Below are 16,610 nucleotides of genomic sequence, written 5' to 3'. Positions count from 1 at the left end.
TAGTCCCAGCTACTTGGGAGTCTGAGGCATGAGAATCACCTGAACCCAGGAGGTAGAGGTTTCAGTGAGCTGAGATTGTGCCACTGCACTCTAGCTTGGGCAACAGAGTGAGACTCTGTTTCAAAAAAAAAAGAGAAAGGTAAAGAGAATCGATGAGCTGTGGACAACTTTAAGCAGCCTAATATACTTGCAATTAGATTCCCTGAAGGAGAAGATAAAGATGGTGTTGGAGGATGGGATAGGAAAATACATTTGTAGAAATCATGGCTGACATATTCCCAAATTAGATGAAAACTATAAACTCACAGATCTGACAAGTGCAATGAATTGAAACACTAGAAACATGAAGAAAATTACACCAAGGCACATCACAATAAAAGTACTAAAAACCAGTGATAAAGTCTTAACAGCAGCCAGAAGAAAAGACATGTTATATATGGAGGAACAAAGGTAAAAATGTCAGCATATTTCTCATCAGAAATAGTACAAGTGGCTGGGCACAGTGGCTCATGTCTGTAATCTCAACACTTGTAGGAGGCTGAGGAGGGCAACGGGCAGATCACTTGAGGTCAGGAGTTCGAGACGAGCCTGGTAAATATGGTGAAACCCTGACTCTACTAAAAATACAAAAATTAGCCGGGTGTGGTGGCACACGCCAGTAATTCCAGCTACTCAGGAGGCTGAGGCAGGAGAATCACTTGAACCTGGGGGGCAGAGGTTGCAGTGAGCTGAGATGGCACCACTGCACTCCAGACTGGGTGACAGAGCAAGATTCCATCTCAAAATAAATAAATAAATAAATAGTACAAGAAGTGGAGCAACATCTATAATGTACTGAATAAAAAAATCTGTCAACCTAAAATTATTTACCTACCAAAAATATCCTTCAAAATCAAAGATATGTAAAGCTATATAAAGATTTTTTCAGACTGAAAAAAAAAAAAGCTGAAAAATTCATAACCAGTAGACTCATACAACAAGAAACATTCAAGGAAGCCCTTCAGACATAGAAAAGTTATTCCAGATTTCTGGAAATAAAGATCTACTAAGAAATGAAGAGCACTTGAAATAGTAACAACAGAACTAAACATATTTTGATTTTTTAATAATTTAAATCTCTAAAAGTTAACAAACAAGAATAGTAATAACTTATGGTGGGTTTATATCTAATGTATCAGTAAAATATATGACAACAGTATTATAAAAGCTAGCATTAGAGACATGGAAGTATACCATTGTAAGATATATCCTATAAGTGTAAGTATTCTATAAGTGATGTGGTATAATTCAAATGAAGATAGACTGTAATAAATTAAAGATATATACTTAAATCTGGTTGAGAGCGGCAATAATCCAGAATGGCTACTCTGATCTATGTTGATAAGGAAAACGAAGAACCAGGCATCCTTGTGGCTACAAAGGATGGGCTGAAGCTGGGGTCTGGACCTTCAATCAAAGCCTTAGATGGGAGATCTCAAGTTTCAATATCATGTTTTGGCAAAACATTCGATGCTCCCACATCCTTACCTAAAGCTACCAGAAAGGCTTTGGGAACTGTCAACAGAGCTACAGAAAAGTCAGTAAAGACCAATGGACCCCTCAAACAAAAACAGCCAAGCTTTTCTGCCAAAAAGATGACTGAGAAGACTGTTAAAGCAAAAAACTCTGTTCCTGCCTCAGATGATGGCTATCCAGAAATAGAAAAATTATTTCCCTTCAATCCTCTAGGCTTCGAGAGTTTTGACCTGCCTGAAGAGCACCAGATTGCACATCTCCCCTTGAGTGAAGTGCCTCTCATGATACTTGATGAGGAGAGAGAGCTTGAAAAGCTGTTTCAGCTGGGCCCCCCTTCACCTTTGAAGATGCCCTCTCCACCATGGAAATCCAATCTGTTGCAGTCTCCTTTAAGCATTCTGTTGACCCTGGATGTTGAATTGCCACCTGTTTGCTCTGACATAGATATTTAAATTTCTTAGTGCTTTAGAGTTTGTGTATATTTCTATTAATAAAGCATTATTTGTTTAACAGAAAAAAAGATATATACTTAAATCCTAAAATAAAATAACCATTAAAAGGAAAAACAGGAGTTATAACTAATAAGGGAACAAAGGACATAAAATGGGATAATAATGCTTAATCCAAAATAAAGCAGAAAATGAAGAAAAATGAAATGAAGAACAGATAAATAGAAAACAAATAGCAATATGAAAGACAAACTTGACCGGGTGTGGTGGCTGATGCCTGTAATCCCAGCACTGTGGGAGGCTGAGGCAGGCGGATCACCTGAGGTCGGGAGTTTGAGACCAGCCTGACCAACATGGAGAAATCCTGTCTCTACTAAAAATACAATAGCCAGGTGTGGTGGTGCATGCTTGTAATCCCAGCAGCTCAGGAGGGTGAGGCAGAATTGCTTGAACCCGGGAGGCAGAGATTGCGGTGGGCGGAGATCGCGCCACTGCACTCCAGCCTAGGCAACAAGAGCAAAACTCCATCTCAAAAAAAAGAAAGCTAGAGCAGCTATATGAATATATCAAGAACGTTTCAAAGCAAATAATATTACCGTGGAAAGAGAAGGTCATTTAATAATGGTAAAGGGGCCAATTTATCAAGAGGACACAACAATTCTAAATGTTTACGTACCTAATAACAGAGCTTCAAAATATATGAACAAAAACTGAAAATATTTCAAGAAGAAATAGACACACCCACAATTATAGTTAGAAGTTTCAAAACCCCTTTCATAATAACACAAGTAGAGAGAAAATCAGCAAGTATATAGAAGACCTAAACAACACTATTAACCATCTTGAGATTTTATTTATTTATTTATTTATTTATATTTTGAGACAGTCTTGCTCTGTCGCCCAGGCTGAAATGCAGTTGCAATCTCGGCTCACTGCAACCTCTCTGCCTCCTAGGTTCAAGCAATTCTCCAGCTTCAGCCTCTCGAGTAGCTGAGACTACAGGCACACGCCACCAGACCCAGCTAATTTTTGTATCTTTAGTAGAGACAGGGTTTTGCCATGTTAGCCAGGCTGGTCTCAAACTCCTGGCCTCAAGTGATCCACCCACATCAGCCTTCCAAAGCGCTGGGATTACAGGTGTGAGCCACCACACCCGGCCAACTTAATTGATATTTGTAGAACACCCCAAAATAGAATATATATACTTTCCATGTGTACACAAGATATTCACCAAGGCAGACCATATTCTGAGCCATAAAATCAATAAATTTAAAACAATTCAAATCACACAAAGTATGTTCTCTAACTATAATAAAATTAAATTAGGAATCAATAACAGCAAGACATTTGGAAAAATCCAATTTTTTTTTTTTTTTTGACGGAGTATTGCTGTGTCACCCAGGATGGAGTGCAGTGACACCATCTCGGCTCACTGAAAGCTCTGCCTCCCAGGTTCATGCCATTCTCCTGCCTCAGCCTCCTGAGTAGCTGGGATTACAGGTGCCCGCCATGGCGCCCGGCTAATTTTTTGTATTTTTAGTAGAGACAGAGTTTCACCGTGTTAGTCAGGCTGGTCTCAAACTCCTGACCTCAGGTGATCCACCCACCTCGGCCTCCCAAAGTGCTAGGATTACAGGCGTGAGCCACCATGCCTGGCCAAAATCCAAATATTTTGAATCCAAATATACAGCCCTAATAACCCATGGGTCAAAGAAGAAATTGAAAGGAAAATTAGAACATATTTTGCACTGAATGAAAATGAAAATAACATATCGAACGTTGTGGAGTGCACTAAACTAGGACTTAGAAGGTATTGCCCATATTGGAAAAGAAAAAAAATCTCAAATCAATGACCTCAACTTTCAACTCACCAACAACAAAAATAAGAGCAAATTGAACAATACTGAGAGAAAATATTTGCAAATCACATTATCTCATAAGAGTCTAGCATCCAGAATACATAAAAAACTTGTTTGACTCAACAGAAAAGACAAAGAATCCAATTTAAAGTGGTCAAAAGACTTAAGTAGACATTTCTGCAAAGAAAATATACAAATGGCCACAGGCACATGAAGAGTTGCTCAACAACATTAGTCATTAGGGAAACGCAAATCAAAATCACAATGAGATACCAATTCACACTCACTAGGATGGCAATAATCAAAAAAGTGAAAACTAAGTGTTGGTGAGGATGTGGAGAAGTTGAAGCCTTGTACATTGGTGGTGAAAATGTAAAATGGTGTGGCTGCTGTGGAAAACAATTTTGAGGTTTCTCAAAAAGTTTAACACAGTATTTCTGTATGACCCAGCAATTCTACTTCTAGATATATACCCCCAAAAAACTGAAAATAGGTATTCAAACAAATACTTACTTGCACATGTTTGTTCACAGCAGCACTGTTCACAATACTCAAGAGGTGAAAATAACCCATGTGTCCATCAGCCAATGAATGGATAAACTGTGGTATATACATTCAATGGAATATTACCCGGCCATAAAAAGGAATGAAGTACTGATACATGCTACAAAATGAATGAACCTTGAAAACATTATGCTATATTTATATTTATATTCCACATAAATGGAATCATACAGTTCTTACCTCTGGTGTCTGGTTTATTTCATTTAGCATAATGTTACAGACACTTAGCTCCATAGAAACGGGAAACAGATTGGTAGTTGCCAAGGGCTGTGGATTGCCTGAGACCAGCCTGGACAACATGGTGAAACCCCATCTCTACTGACAAAATTAACAAAAAAAAATTAGCCAGGCGTAGTGGAGCATGCCTGTAGTCCCAGCTACAGGAGGCTGAGGTGGGAGGATCACCTGAACCCAGGAGGTTGAGGCTGTAGTGAGTCAAGAGCAGACCAATACACTCCAGCCTGGGCAACTGGAGTGAGGCCCTTTCTCAAAAAACAAAACAAAAACAAAAGATAATGTACAAATTAAATTCAGAAAAGGTACAATATAATTTTATTATTTAGAGATGTGGAGGGAAATATAATAAGGACTAAAAGCAGAAACATTTAACATGGTTCCTTCCCAAAATTAAATAAATTGACCTAACTGATAAGGGGAATTCCTTCAAATAACTTCAAAATAAAGGATATCTTTCCCTAGTGGAATAAACTCAAAGGACAAAAGAACTGTAAAAAAAAAATTATAAAAAAATCTTAAACTCTATTCAGGTAATCATTATATGAGATCATGTTCATGTTGTAAAATAAAGAAAATGGGTCAGGTGTGGTGGTGCATGCCTGTAATCCCAGCACTCTGGGGGGCCAAGGTGGGCAGATCGCTTGAGCCCAGGAGTTCCAGACCAGCCTAGGCAACACAGTAAAATCCTGTCTCTATAAAAATTAGCCGGGTGTGGTGGCACATGCCTGTAGTTCCAGCTACTCGGGAGGCTGAGAGATAGGAGGATCACTTGAGCCCTGATGGTTGAGGCCGCAGTGAGCTAAGATCGTGCCACTGCACTCCAGTCTGGGCAACAGAGCAAGACCCTGCCTCAAATAATAATAACAGTAATAATAACTTTTTAAAAAGGAAGAAAATTAGTAATTATGTTCCTATCCTTAAGAACCAGGAATTCTGATGTAGGAGAAAGGAGATACAGATGAACTTGGGTTTAAAAAAACCAAAAAAACCTGTAGTACTGAATTTCAATTGGAAGTATCAGTATGAATATATGTTGTATTTTATCTTTAAAATATACATATGTATATTTTATGTGTACATAAATATATGTATATTCATATAAATACACATATATATTTATATGTATGTATTTCCTAGCTCTAGCATGGAAAAAGCTAAAATCAGTGACCAATCTAGGGAAATGAACACCCCTAGTACCAAGATTATGGTCCCTAAATATTTCCCACTAATATGAACTAGGGCTCCTTGGAGAACTGGCTGATTGCAGACCTGCAGCAGAAAATGTACAAGATGAGCCTGGAATGTCCTAACTTCCTTACTTTCCAGTATGATATCAATGACTACCAGAGTCATGTGAAAAACCTCAGAAACTAATTCAAAGATGGCAAAATCGATCATAAAAAAGAATCACCATTATGAATTGAAATATATCGAACATGTAAATCCAGGAATTTACAAAGATACTAAAAAATAGAAAACAAACCTCATGGTTTACCTTTCGATAACCATAAGGAACTAACTCATTATTTTGAAAACTGGTAAATAAAAGATAAGAATCAAGCCTATATCCTGCCTTCCAATATAAACTGCACTCCAGGTAACCAAATAGTCAATGAGGAGAAGTTTCTTGTTACAGAAGAATTCCAGGTAATGCATAAAGGCAGAATGCTGCCATTTTGCAATGAATTAATTAATGAATTAATGCACGTAGGCAATGATGATCAATGGCTGCTTATCTCATAAAAAGAGCACTAACCAAACATTTTATGCCTCCTGATGGAAAAACACATCACTATGCAGTATTCTTGCCAAAATACTTGAATCTAAATCTCATTAAGTTTCTAGCTCTAACTTCCAATTTATAGGGACTGCAGGGGTCAGAAGTACATGTCAAATGACATCATAGGGATGCAATCAGTAAACTTTAGTGGGAGATCCTACAGGCTAAATGACCTGGTTTCTTTATTACATAAATTATAAGGGAAAAAAGAAAGGCAGCAGATATACAGAATAAAAGACTTAAAATGAGATATCAATTACCAATTGTATGGATCTTATTTAGATCTTGATTAGACTAAACAACTAAAAAAATTATGAGGCAATTTGAGAATTCAAACATGACTAGATAGCCAATAATAAGAAATCATAAAAATAAAAAGAAAAAAATCAGTGGGTTTTTTTTAAGTGTGATGATGTTATATTTTTGTTTTTGGTTTTGTTTTTTGAGACGCGGTCTCACTCCATCGCCAGGCTGGAGTGCAGTGGCGCGATCTTGGCTCACTGTAACCTCCAACTCCCTGGTTCAAGCAATTCTCCTGCCTCAGCCTCCCGAGTACCTGGGATTAAAGGCACATGCCACCACACCCAGCTAATTTGTATTTTTAGTAGAGATGGGATTTCACCATGTTGGTTTGTATGGTCTCGATCTCCTGACGTCCAGCTGATGTTATGTTTTTTAAAAGTCTGTTATAGGCCGGGCGCGGTGGCTCACGTCTGTAATCTCAACACTTGGGGAGGCCAAGGTGGGTGGATCACGTGAGGTCAGGAGTTCACAACCAGCCTGGCCAACATGGTGAAACCCTGTCTCTACTAAAAATACAAAAGTTAGCCGGGCATGGTAGCAGGCGCCTGTGGCAGAGGTTGCAGTGAGCTGAGATTGCACCACTGCACTGGGGGACAAGAGCGAGACTTCGTCTCAAAAAAAAAGAGTCTAAAAAGTCTATGTTATAGAGCTAATACTTAAATATTTAGAGATGAAACAATCTGATGTTTGGGATTTGATTCAAAATTATGTGTGTGTAGGGGCAGGGGAGTGCAATAAGATTTAGCCATAATTAGCTAACTGTTGAAACGGGGCAGTAGGCTTATGAAGGCTAATTATACTATTCAGATGACTTTTTTATGTTTGAAATTTTATATAATAAAAAGGTGGGTTTTTTTCTTTTAAAACATTTATTATTTATTTTTTTTTTAGAGAGAGTCTCACTCTGTTACCCAGGCTGAAGTGCAGAGATGCAATCTCAGCTCACTGTTACCTCCGCCAACTGGGTTCAAGTGATTCTCCTGCCTCAGCCTCCCAAATAGCTGGGATTACAAGTATGCATCACCACACTCAGCTAACTTGTGTATTTTTAGTAGAGACGGGGTTTTGCCATTTTGGCTAGGGTGGTCTCAAACACCTAGCCTCTTGTGATCTGACCGCCTCAGCCTCTCAAAGTGCTGGGGCGTGAGCCACCATGCCCAGCCCAAACTATTTTTATAATAACACAAAGATGTTATTTGCCTTTTTCTCTGTGTTGACATTTGCACTGATGGTACAAAAACAATAGTGACTAGAACTACTGGTGACTTGGCAGGAATCCAGGCAGTGAAACCACATTTCTTGTAGTCATTGTATTCTTCACCATCACTTGTAGTTAAAAAACAAAAAAACCCAAAAATCAGGTTCACTTAAGAATGTCTAGCTGGGCATGGTGGCATGCACCTGTAGTCCCAGCTGTTCAGGAGGCTGAAACCTGAAGCAGGAGGATTGCTTGAGGCCAGGAGTTTGAAGTTATAGTGAGCTATGATGGTACTACTATACTCCAGCCTGGGCAACAGAGTAAGACCCTGTCTCTAAAAATTAAATAAAAATTTAAAAGGAATGTCCTTGATAAAGCAGTAAAGATTACTAATTTTATTCAATCTTGACCTTTGAGTACATTTCCTTTTTTTTTTTTTTTGAGACAGAGTTTCACTGTTGTTGCCCAGGATGGAGTGCAATGGTGAGATCTTGGCTCACTGCAACCTCTGCCTCCCTGGTTCAAGCGATTCTCCTGCCTCAGCCTCCCAAGTAGCTGGGATTACAGGCATGCACCACTACGCCCGGCTTAGTACATTTCTTTATAATGTCCTGTGTGACAAAACAGAAAGTATACATAAAGCACTTCTGCTATATATCAAAATCTTATGATTAGAAGAAAAGCCCTTGTGTGATTGTTTGAGATGCAATCTAAACTAGCTGCTTTTTCATAGAATCTCATTTTTACTTGAAATGATGACGGACAAATGATGGTATTTGCCAAACTTAAGTATTTGGCAGACACTTTCTTGAAAATGAACAAAGTGGCCGGGCACAGTGACTCACGCCTGTAATCCCAGCACTTTGGGAGGCCGAGGCGGACGGATCATGAGGTCAGAAGATCAAGACCATCCTGGCTAACATGGTGAAACCCTGTCTCTACTAAAAATACAAAAAGTTAGCCGGGTGTGGTGGCGGGCACCTGTAGTCCCAGCTACTCAGGAGGCTGAGGTAGGAGAATGGTGTGAACCCGGGAGGCAGAGCTTGCAGTGAGCCAAGATAGTGCCACTGTACTCCAGCCTGGGTGACAGGGCAAGACTCCGTCTCAAAAAAAAAAAAAAAAAAAAAAGAAAAAAGAAAATGAACAAAGTAAGCCTGTCACATCAAGGAAAACAACTCAATGTATTTGTTGGCAGTGATAAAATTCAAGCTTTCAAGCCAAATGTAGAGCTTTGGAAAATTAGTTTCTGCCACCATGACCTCGTCTGCTCTCCTCCACTGAGAAATTTTTCTGAGGCACTCACTTAGTGATACTAACAAATGTGATTTTTATAATATTGTTACATGAAATGTGAATATTTGGAAGGTCTGCATAAATCAGTGAACCAATATTTTCCAAATGACTAATTAAAGAAATTACAAAGCCTTGCATGCATCAAAAATCCACTCAAAATGTAAGCGGTTGTAGTAGATTGAATGGTGGCCAACAAAAAGGATCTTGAGAGGAGATCTTCCCAGATTATCCAGGTAAACCCTAAACCCAATGACAAGGGTCCTTTTAAGAGACAGAAGAGGGGCTGGGCGTGGTGGCTCATGCCTGTAATCTCAGCACTTTGGGAGGCCGAGGCGGGTGGATCACGAGGTCAGGAGATTAAAACCATCCTGGTTACTCGGGAGGCTGAGACAGGAGAATGGTGTGAACCCAGGAGGCGGAGCTTGCAGTGAGCTGAGATCACACCACTGCACTCCAGCCTGGGCAACACAGCGAGACTCCATCTCAAACAAACAAACAAACAAACAAACAAACAAAAACCATCCTGGCCAAAATGGTGAAACAACGTCTCTACTAAAAATACGAAAATTAGCTAGGTGTGGTGGTGCACCCCTGTAGTCCCAGCTACTTGGGAGGCTGAGGCAGGAGAATTGCTTGAACCCGGGAGGTAGAGGTTGCAGTGAGCCAAGATCATGCCAGTGCACTCCAGGCTGGGTGACACAGCCAGACTCTGTCTCAAAAAAAAAAAGAGAGACAGAAGAGAAGACACAGAGACACGTGGAAGAGAATGCCTTATTGGCCCAGCACAGTGGCTCACGCCTGGCCTGTAATCCCAGCACTTTGGGAGGGCGAGGTGGGCGGATCGCGTGAGGTCAGGAGTTCGAGACCAGCCTGGCCAACATAGTGAAACCCCATCTCTACTAAAAATAAAAAATTAGCTGGGTATGGTGGCACACACCTGTAGTCCCAGCTACTTGGGAGGCTGAGGCAGGAGAATCACTTGAACCCAGGAGGCGGAGGTTGCAGTGAGCTGAGATCGTGCTACTGCACTCCAGCCTGGGAGACAGGGAGACAGAGTGAGACTCTGTCTCAAAAAAAAAAAAAAAGAAGAAAAGAAAAAAGAAAAAAGAAGGCCTTATTAAGACAGAGGCAGAGGGCCACTGATGCTAGGAAAACATAAGGAACCCATTGTTTCCTAGAGTCTTTGGAGGGAGTGCAGCCTTTGATTTCCAGCCTCCAGAACTGTAACAGAATAAATTTTTGTTGCTTTAAGCTGGTGTAAATCTGTTATGTCTGTACAGCAGTCCTAGGAAACTAATACAATGACAAATGCATGTTAATGTAATTGAGCATAAAAATGTATTGATATGGAGCCCTTAGTGGTGGTGCATGCTGGTAGTTCCAGCTACTTGGGAGGCTGAGGCAGGAGGACTGCTTGAGCCCGGGAGTTTGAGACCAGCCTGGACAATATAGCAAGACTCCATCTCAAAAAAAGTGCATTAATATGGATTCAGGATCCACATTGTATCTAATATCTAAGAAGCTACTACTTAGCCAAGATTTTTGAAAAGGCTTTAAAAATACCCTGTTTTTTTCCAACTACATATCTCTGTAAGACCTGATTTATATATCTATATATAGATATAGAGAGATATTTCACTTAAAACAACATATTGTAACAGTTTGAATGCAGAAACAGGTTTAAAGATTCAGTGGTCACTTACTAAGCCAGATATTAAAGAGATTTGCAAACAAATAATATAATGCTAATTACTAATTTTTTCAGCTTTGGAAAAGGTTATTTTTTATAAAAATACTTTTTTGTTTGTTTTTGAGACAGAGTCTCACTCTGTTGCCCAGGCTGCAGTGCAATGGCGCGATCTCGGCTCACTGCAACCTCCGCCTCCCAGGTTCAAGCTATTCTCATGTCTCAGCCTCCCAAGTAGCTGAGATCACAGGCACCCACCACCACACCTGGCTAATTTTTGTATTTTTAGTAGAGACAGGGTTTCGCCATGTTGGTCAGGTTGGTCTTGAACTCCTGACCTCAGGTGATCCACCCGCCTTGGCCTCCCAAAGTGCTGGGATTACAGGTGTGAGCCACCTTGCCCGGCCTTAAAAATATGTTTTTAATGTTAACATGTAAAGGGTGTGTGTGTGTGTGTGTGTGTGTGTAGTGTGTGTGTGTATATATATACATATAGTGTGTGTGTATATATATAGTGTGTGTATATATATATATGTATATATATATATATACACTTTTTTTTTTAAGCTGGAGTCTTACTCTGTTTCCCAGGCTGGAGTGCAGTGGCGTGATCTCAGCTCACTACAACCTCCACCTTCTGGGCTCAAGCGATTCTCCTGCCTCAACCTCCCAAATAGCTGGGATTACAGGTGCCCGCCACCATGCCCAGCTAATTTTTGTAGTTTTAGTAGAGACGAGGTTTCACCATGTTGGCCAGGCTGGTCTCAAACTCCTGACCTCAAGTGATCTCTCCACCTCAGCCCCCCAAAGTGCTGGGATTACAGGTGTGAGCCACTGCACCTGGCCATATTTTTTTATTTAATTTTTTTTTTAAAATTTATCAGTTTTAACTTCTAGTACAAATAGATAGCCCATATAAATACAAACTCCTTGGGGTACTCAGTAATTTTTAGGAGTGTAAGGAGTTCTGTGAGACCAAAATGTTTGAGAAACACTGGCCCATACAACCATTGAAAGAGGAAAGACAAATGGGGACTGAGGGCCAGGCACAGTGGCTCATGCCTGTAATCCCAGCCCTTCGAGAGGCCTAGGCAGGAGAATCACTTGACCCCAGGAGTTCGAGACCAGCTTGGGTAACATGGTGAGAACTTTTTGAGTCTCTACAAAAAAAATACAAAAATTAGCTAGGTGTGGTGGTACATGCCTGTAGTCCCAGCTACTCAGGAGGCTAAGGGAGGAGGATCACTTGAGCCAAGGAGGTTGAAGCTGCAGTGAGCCATGATCATGCCACTGCATTCCAGCCTGGGCAACAGAGCGAGACCCTGTCTCAAAAAAAAAAAAAAAAAAAATAGGGCCTGAGTAGTTAGGAAAGGGATCACGTAGGTAGGATTCCTGCCCTTTTGCACTATGCATTGAATCTTCAGGGGCAGAAAGGTAGAAAAACATCCTTCTAGGCAAAGAACCTCAGAAGTATATAATAAACTTAGAAGCAGATCTATACGTGATAAGGTTAAGGGAGACTGGGTCATCAATAAATACATAAATCTTACATGTCCAGATTATTATCTTTTTAAAAATAGTTGATGCTGGCCTGGCACAGTGGCTCACGCCTGTAATCCCAGCACTTTGGGAGGCCGAGGCAGGCAGACTGCTTGAGCTTAGGAGTTCAAGACCAGCCTGGGCAACAGGGAGACCCTGCCAAACCCCGTCTCTACTAAAACATACAAAAATTGGCCAGGTATGGTGTGGCATGTGCCTATAGTCCCAGCTACTTGGGGGGCTGAGACAGGAGAATCACTTGAGCCCAGGAGATTGAGGCTGCAGTGAGCTATATTCGCACCACTGCACTCCAGCATGAGTGACAATGTGAGACCCTGTCTCAAAAAAAAAAAAAAAAAAAAAAAAAAAAGTAGATGCATGCCTCAATTTCAAGATTCTTGGTTTGTCTTTTGTAAGCCCATAACTTAAAAGGATTTGGGGTTTTGTAAATGTGGATACCATGGTTTTCCTCCCCTTATTCCTGTGCTCCTCATAGATGGAGTGAGTCCTTGTAAGTACTAAACCAGCCCACATAACCCTCCTCTGAGTCTTCATACATTTTTTTTTACTCCATCTGGAACACACATCTCTATTTTTTGTTTGGTATATAGTTTGCTTGGACTGTCATAAACAAGTACCTCAGACTGGGTGGTTTAAACAACAGAAATGCATTGTCTCACAATTCTGGAGGCACAAGTCTGAGATCAATGTGCCACCAGAGCTGGTCTCTCCTGAGCCTCCTCTCCTTGGCTTGTAGACGGCTGCCTTCTCCCTGTGTCCTCACAGCATCTTCCTTGTGTACGTAGCTAAGTCCAAATTTCCTCTTCTTATAAGAACAATGGTCATACTGAATTAGGGCCCACCCATAGGACCTCATGTTAACTTTATTACCTCTTTAAAGATCCTGTCTCCAAATACAGTCACAGTCTGAGATACTGGGGGCTAGAACATCAACATATGAATTTGAGGGGACACAATTCAGGCTATCACACTTTGGCTAACTCCTTCTCGCTCTCTGTGAATCAGCCTAAATTGGACTTTCTCAGGGAAGCTTTCCTTGACCCCTGACTTAAGTGAAGGTCCCTGTTATACTCACATAGGAGCCTACACTTACCCTGTTAATACATATCATTTAGCATACAAATGAAAGTAAATAGTCATTTAACTGTTTTATAACTGTTTCACCTACCAAACCCTAAGAGCCATGAGGGCAGGGACTGCGTCTGTCATGTTCACCACTGGGCCTACAGGGTTTAGAATAGTGCCTGACATACTGGGGTCACTCAATGAGTACGGGAGTGCTGTATGGTGTTACAAAATGGGGGAGTTTCAGAGATGAAAACAAGATCTGCAAGACCACCAGGAAGGATTCTGAGACCAGCAGCAACCATCTGGAAGAGGTGTACAGGCTAAGCATCCCTAACTCAAAAAATCTAAAATGTTTCAAAATCCAAAACTTTCTGAGTGTCTACATGATGCCACAAGTGGAATATTCCACACCTGACATCATGCGACAGGTTGCAGTTAAAACGCAGGTGCACAACACAGTTTTATCAGTTTTACTTAACATCCCCAAGGGGGTTATTGTACAACAATCTTTTAATCAAAACACAGCATCACAGGCAGAGACTGACAGCCTGTTGTTATTTGTTGTTGCTGTTTTTCGTTTTTTTTTTTTTTTGAGATGGAGTCTCACTCTGTCCCCCGGACTGGAGTGCAGTGGTGTGATCTCGGCTCACTGCAACCTCCGCCTCCTGGGTTCAGATGATTCTCCTGCCTCAGCCTGCCCAGCAGCTGGGATTATAGGAGTGCTGCACCACACCCAGCTAATTTTTGTATTTTTAGTAGAGACGAGGTTTCACCATGTTGGTCAGGGTGGTCTTGAACTCCTGACCTCAGGTGATCCACCCGCTTCCGCCTCCCAAAGTGCTGGGATTACAGGCATGACCCACCACGCCTGGCCTTGTTGCTGTTGTTAAACAGCTGATGCAGGTATTCTGGGGATGCTACTGTGCTGCCTAGTTACCCTAAACACATTATTTTCTCACTGTATTAATGGTGTGTCATATTGGTAACTGTTAAGTGTTAATGTGTGTATAAGCAGGAGAAAATGATTGCTTATCACTAGCATATAAATTCAGAGTCAGAAATGATGGTGATGCCAAACAAGTACAGATCGACCACATAGGTGATGAGATTGTCCACGTGGGCGATGAGATAGTGACACCTTTGCTTTCTGATAGTTCAATGCATACAAATTTTGTTCCATGTACAGAATTACTTAAAATATTGTATAAAATGACCTTCAGACTGTGTGCATAAGGTGTATATGAAACATAAATGGGAATTTCGTCTTTAGACTTTATTCGTATCCCCAAGAGATCTCATCATGTATATGCAGATATTCCAAAATCTGTAAATACCCGAAATCCAAAACACTTCCTGTTCCAAGCATTTTGGATAAAAGATACTCAACCTGTCCCAGCAAATCAGTAATCTTGGTGGTCAAGCCTCACTGACTTTTAATCCCACTGCAGTACTGAATTAAGCGGGTAGAGTCTTAAGTCCAGTCCTGTCTCAATCATTAATTAGCAACGTAAAAATGGTGCAATGTTCCTTAGTTTTTGCATTATCTCTCATTCCTCATTTGCAAATGCAGGAAATTATCTAAAGCCAACATTGGTCACAATTTAAACAGAAAAGCCCTGATCTGTGAATATCCCAAACTCTACCCCATGCTGCCAAGACCCTTGTGTGCCTTTGATGGGAGTGTTAATCCCAACCTTTCCTTTAACAACCAATTCTGCTGAAGCTTATGTGAGTCCCACCTCCAGGCCTCTAAAGTTTTCTCCCATGCTGCAAAAGGGGGTTACAAATCAAACAAAGCTCCAAAGAGCCTCCAGCACTGCCAAAAGACTCAGGGGCCTAGAGGGCAATTGGAGTTCAGAGGTCATAAGGGCATTTAAAGTCTATTAACAATCTTGTGATTTGGTTAGGAGTTAAGAAGTGATATCCATGACTTCTAGGAGAACGTGGATTGGAATTCAAATGAGTGGCTAGAATATTTTGGAGGTATGGAGAGGGGGAGATCATATTCTTTTCTTTTCTTTTCTTTTTTTTGAGAGGGAGTTTCGCTCTTGCTGCCCAAGCTGGAGTGCAATGGCACGATCTTGGCTCACTGCAACCTCCGCTCCCAGGTTCGAGTGATTCTCCTGCCTCAGCCTCCTGAGTAGCTGGGAATACAGGCACCACCACGCCCAGCTAATTTTGTATTTTTAGTAGAGACGGGGTTTCTCCATGTTGGTCAAGCTGGTCTCAAACTCCTGACCTCAGGTGATCAACCCTCCTGGGCCTCCCAAAGTGCTGGGATTACAGGTGTGAGCCACCGTGCCTGGCCCATATTCTTTTTTAAAATAGTTTTTGCAAGCTGGGAAAGTATATAATACAGAGAAAAGCAAAGTCTCAGCAATTTACGAGTATCTTCCCCTAGTCCTCTCCTATGCATTTGCCTAACTGTATATCTTGACTACCTATGTGATTTGGGACAAGCTTCTACCTTGGTTCATCTAGGAATAATACTAGCACAAGAGGTGGTTGTGAGTATCACATAAGGTCACATATGGAAATGCATTAAATGCAGAGGTTGTAGGCTTCATGGAAGCTACAGAATTCTGGCTGCCACCTCTTAGGAACTGTGTAACCTTGGGCATGTTTTAACTTTTTTTGCCTAGTTTTTCTCATCTGCAAAATGGAAATAATAATGGTACCTATCTCGTGATTGTTGTGATAATTAAATATAATAATGTTGTTGTACCTGAAACAAGCATCCAATAAGTGTTAGCTATTTATTTTAATGTTTGTAATATTCAGAGCTTTTTCACCTAATATGCTCTCATTTGATTACCTCAGAAATCTGTAACTTCTGGCCAGGCATGGTGGCTCACACCTATAATCCCAACACTCTGGGAGGCTGAAGTGGGAGGCTGAGGCTTGAGCCCAGGAGTTTGAGGTTATAGTGAGCCATGATCATGCCACTGTACTCCAGTCTGGACAACAGAGTGAGACCCTGTCTCTAAAAAAATAAAGAAACCTGTGACTTCCCACTCCCTTCAAACTCCCCACTTCCCTTTACTCTCCCTTCTCCCCAAGCAATGTCCTTGTCTCGCCGAAAACATCAGGCTTAATC

General features: G+C 41.0%; 2 protein-coding genes and 1 pseudogene across 3 annotated transcripts in view, besides 1 other annotated feature; 1 reads left to right on the top strand and 2 right to left on the bottom strand.

The window, feature by feature from the left end:
* Positions 1 to 16,610, bottom strand: part of C8orf44-SGK3 (C8orf44-SGK3 readthrough) — a 194,427-nt gene that overhangs the window by 92,659 nt on the left and 85,158 nt on the right. The window lies entirely within an intron of this gene.
* Positions 1 to 16,610, bottom strand: part of SGK3 (serum/glucocorticoid regulated kinase family member 3) — a 149,242-nt gene that overhangs the window by 92,659 nt on the left and 39,973 nt on the right. The window lies entirely within an intron of this gene.
* Positions 1,330 to 2,035, top strand: PTTG3P (pituitary tumor-transforming 3, pseudogene; annotated as a pseudogene). Its single transcript, NR_002734.2, has one exon. The product of NR_002734.2 is annotated as a pituitary tumor-transforming 3, pseudogene (transcript).
* Positions 14,842 to 15,376: an enhancer, noted in NCBI's record as "NANOG hESC enhancer chr8:67666223-67666757 (GRCh37/hg19 assembly coordinates)". NCBI's record gives its function as "activates a minimal SCP1, AML or CMV promoter by ChIP-STARR-seq in naive H9 embryonic stem cells {active_cell/tissue: H9 hESC(naive)}" and the evidence as "EXISTENCE:reporter gene assay evidence [ECO:0000049][PMID:30033119]".

The sequence above is a fragment of the Homo sapiens genome, chromosome 8 (genome assembly GCF_000001405.40).
Source record: "Homo sapiens chromosome 8, GRCh38.p14 Primary Assembly".
In the NCBI taxonomy this organism is placed as follows: domain Eukaryota; kingdom Metazoa; phylum Chordata; class Mammalia; order Primates; family Hominidae; genus Homo; species Homo sapiens.
The sequence above is the reverse complement of the archived record's forward strand: the minus strand, read 5'-3'. Positions and strand labels throughout refer to the sequence as shown.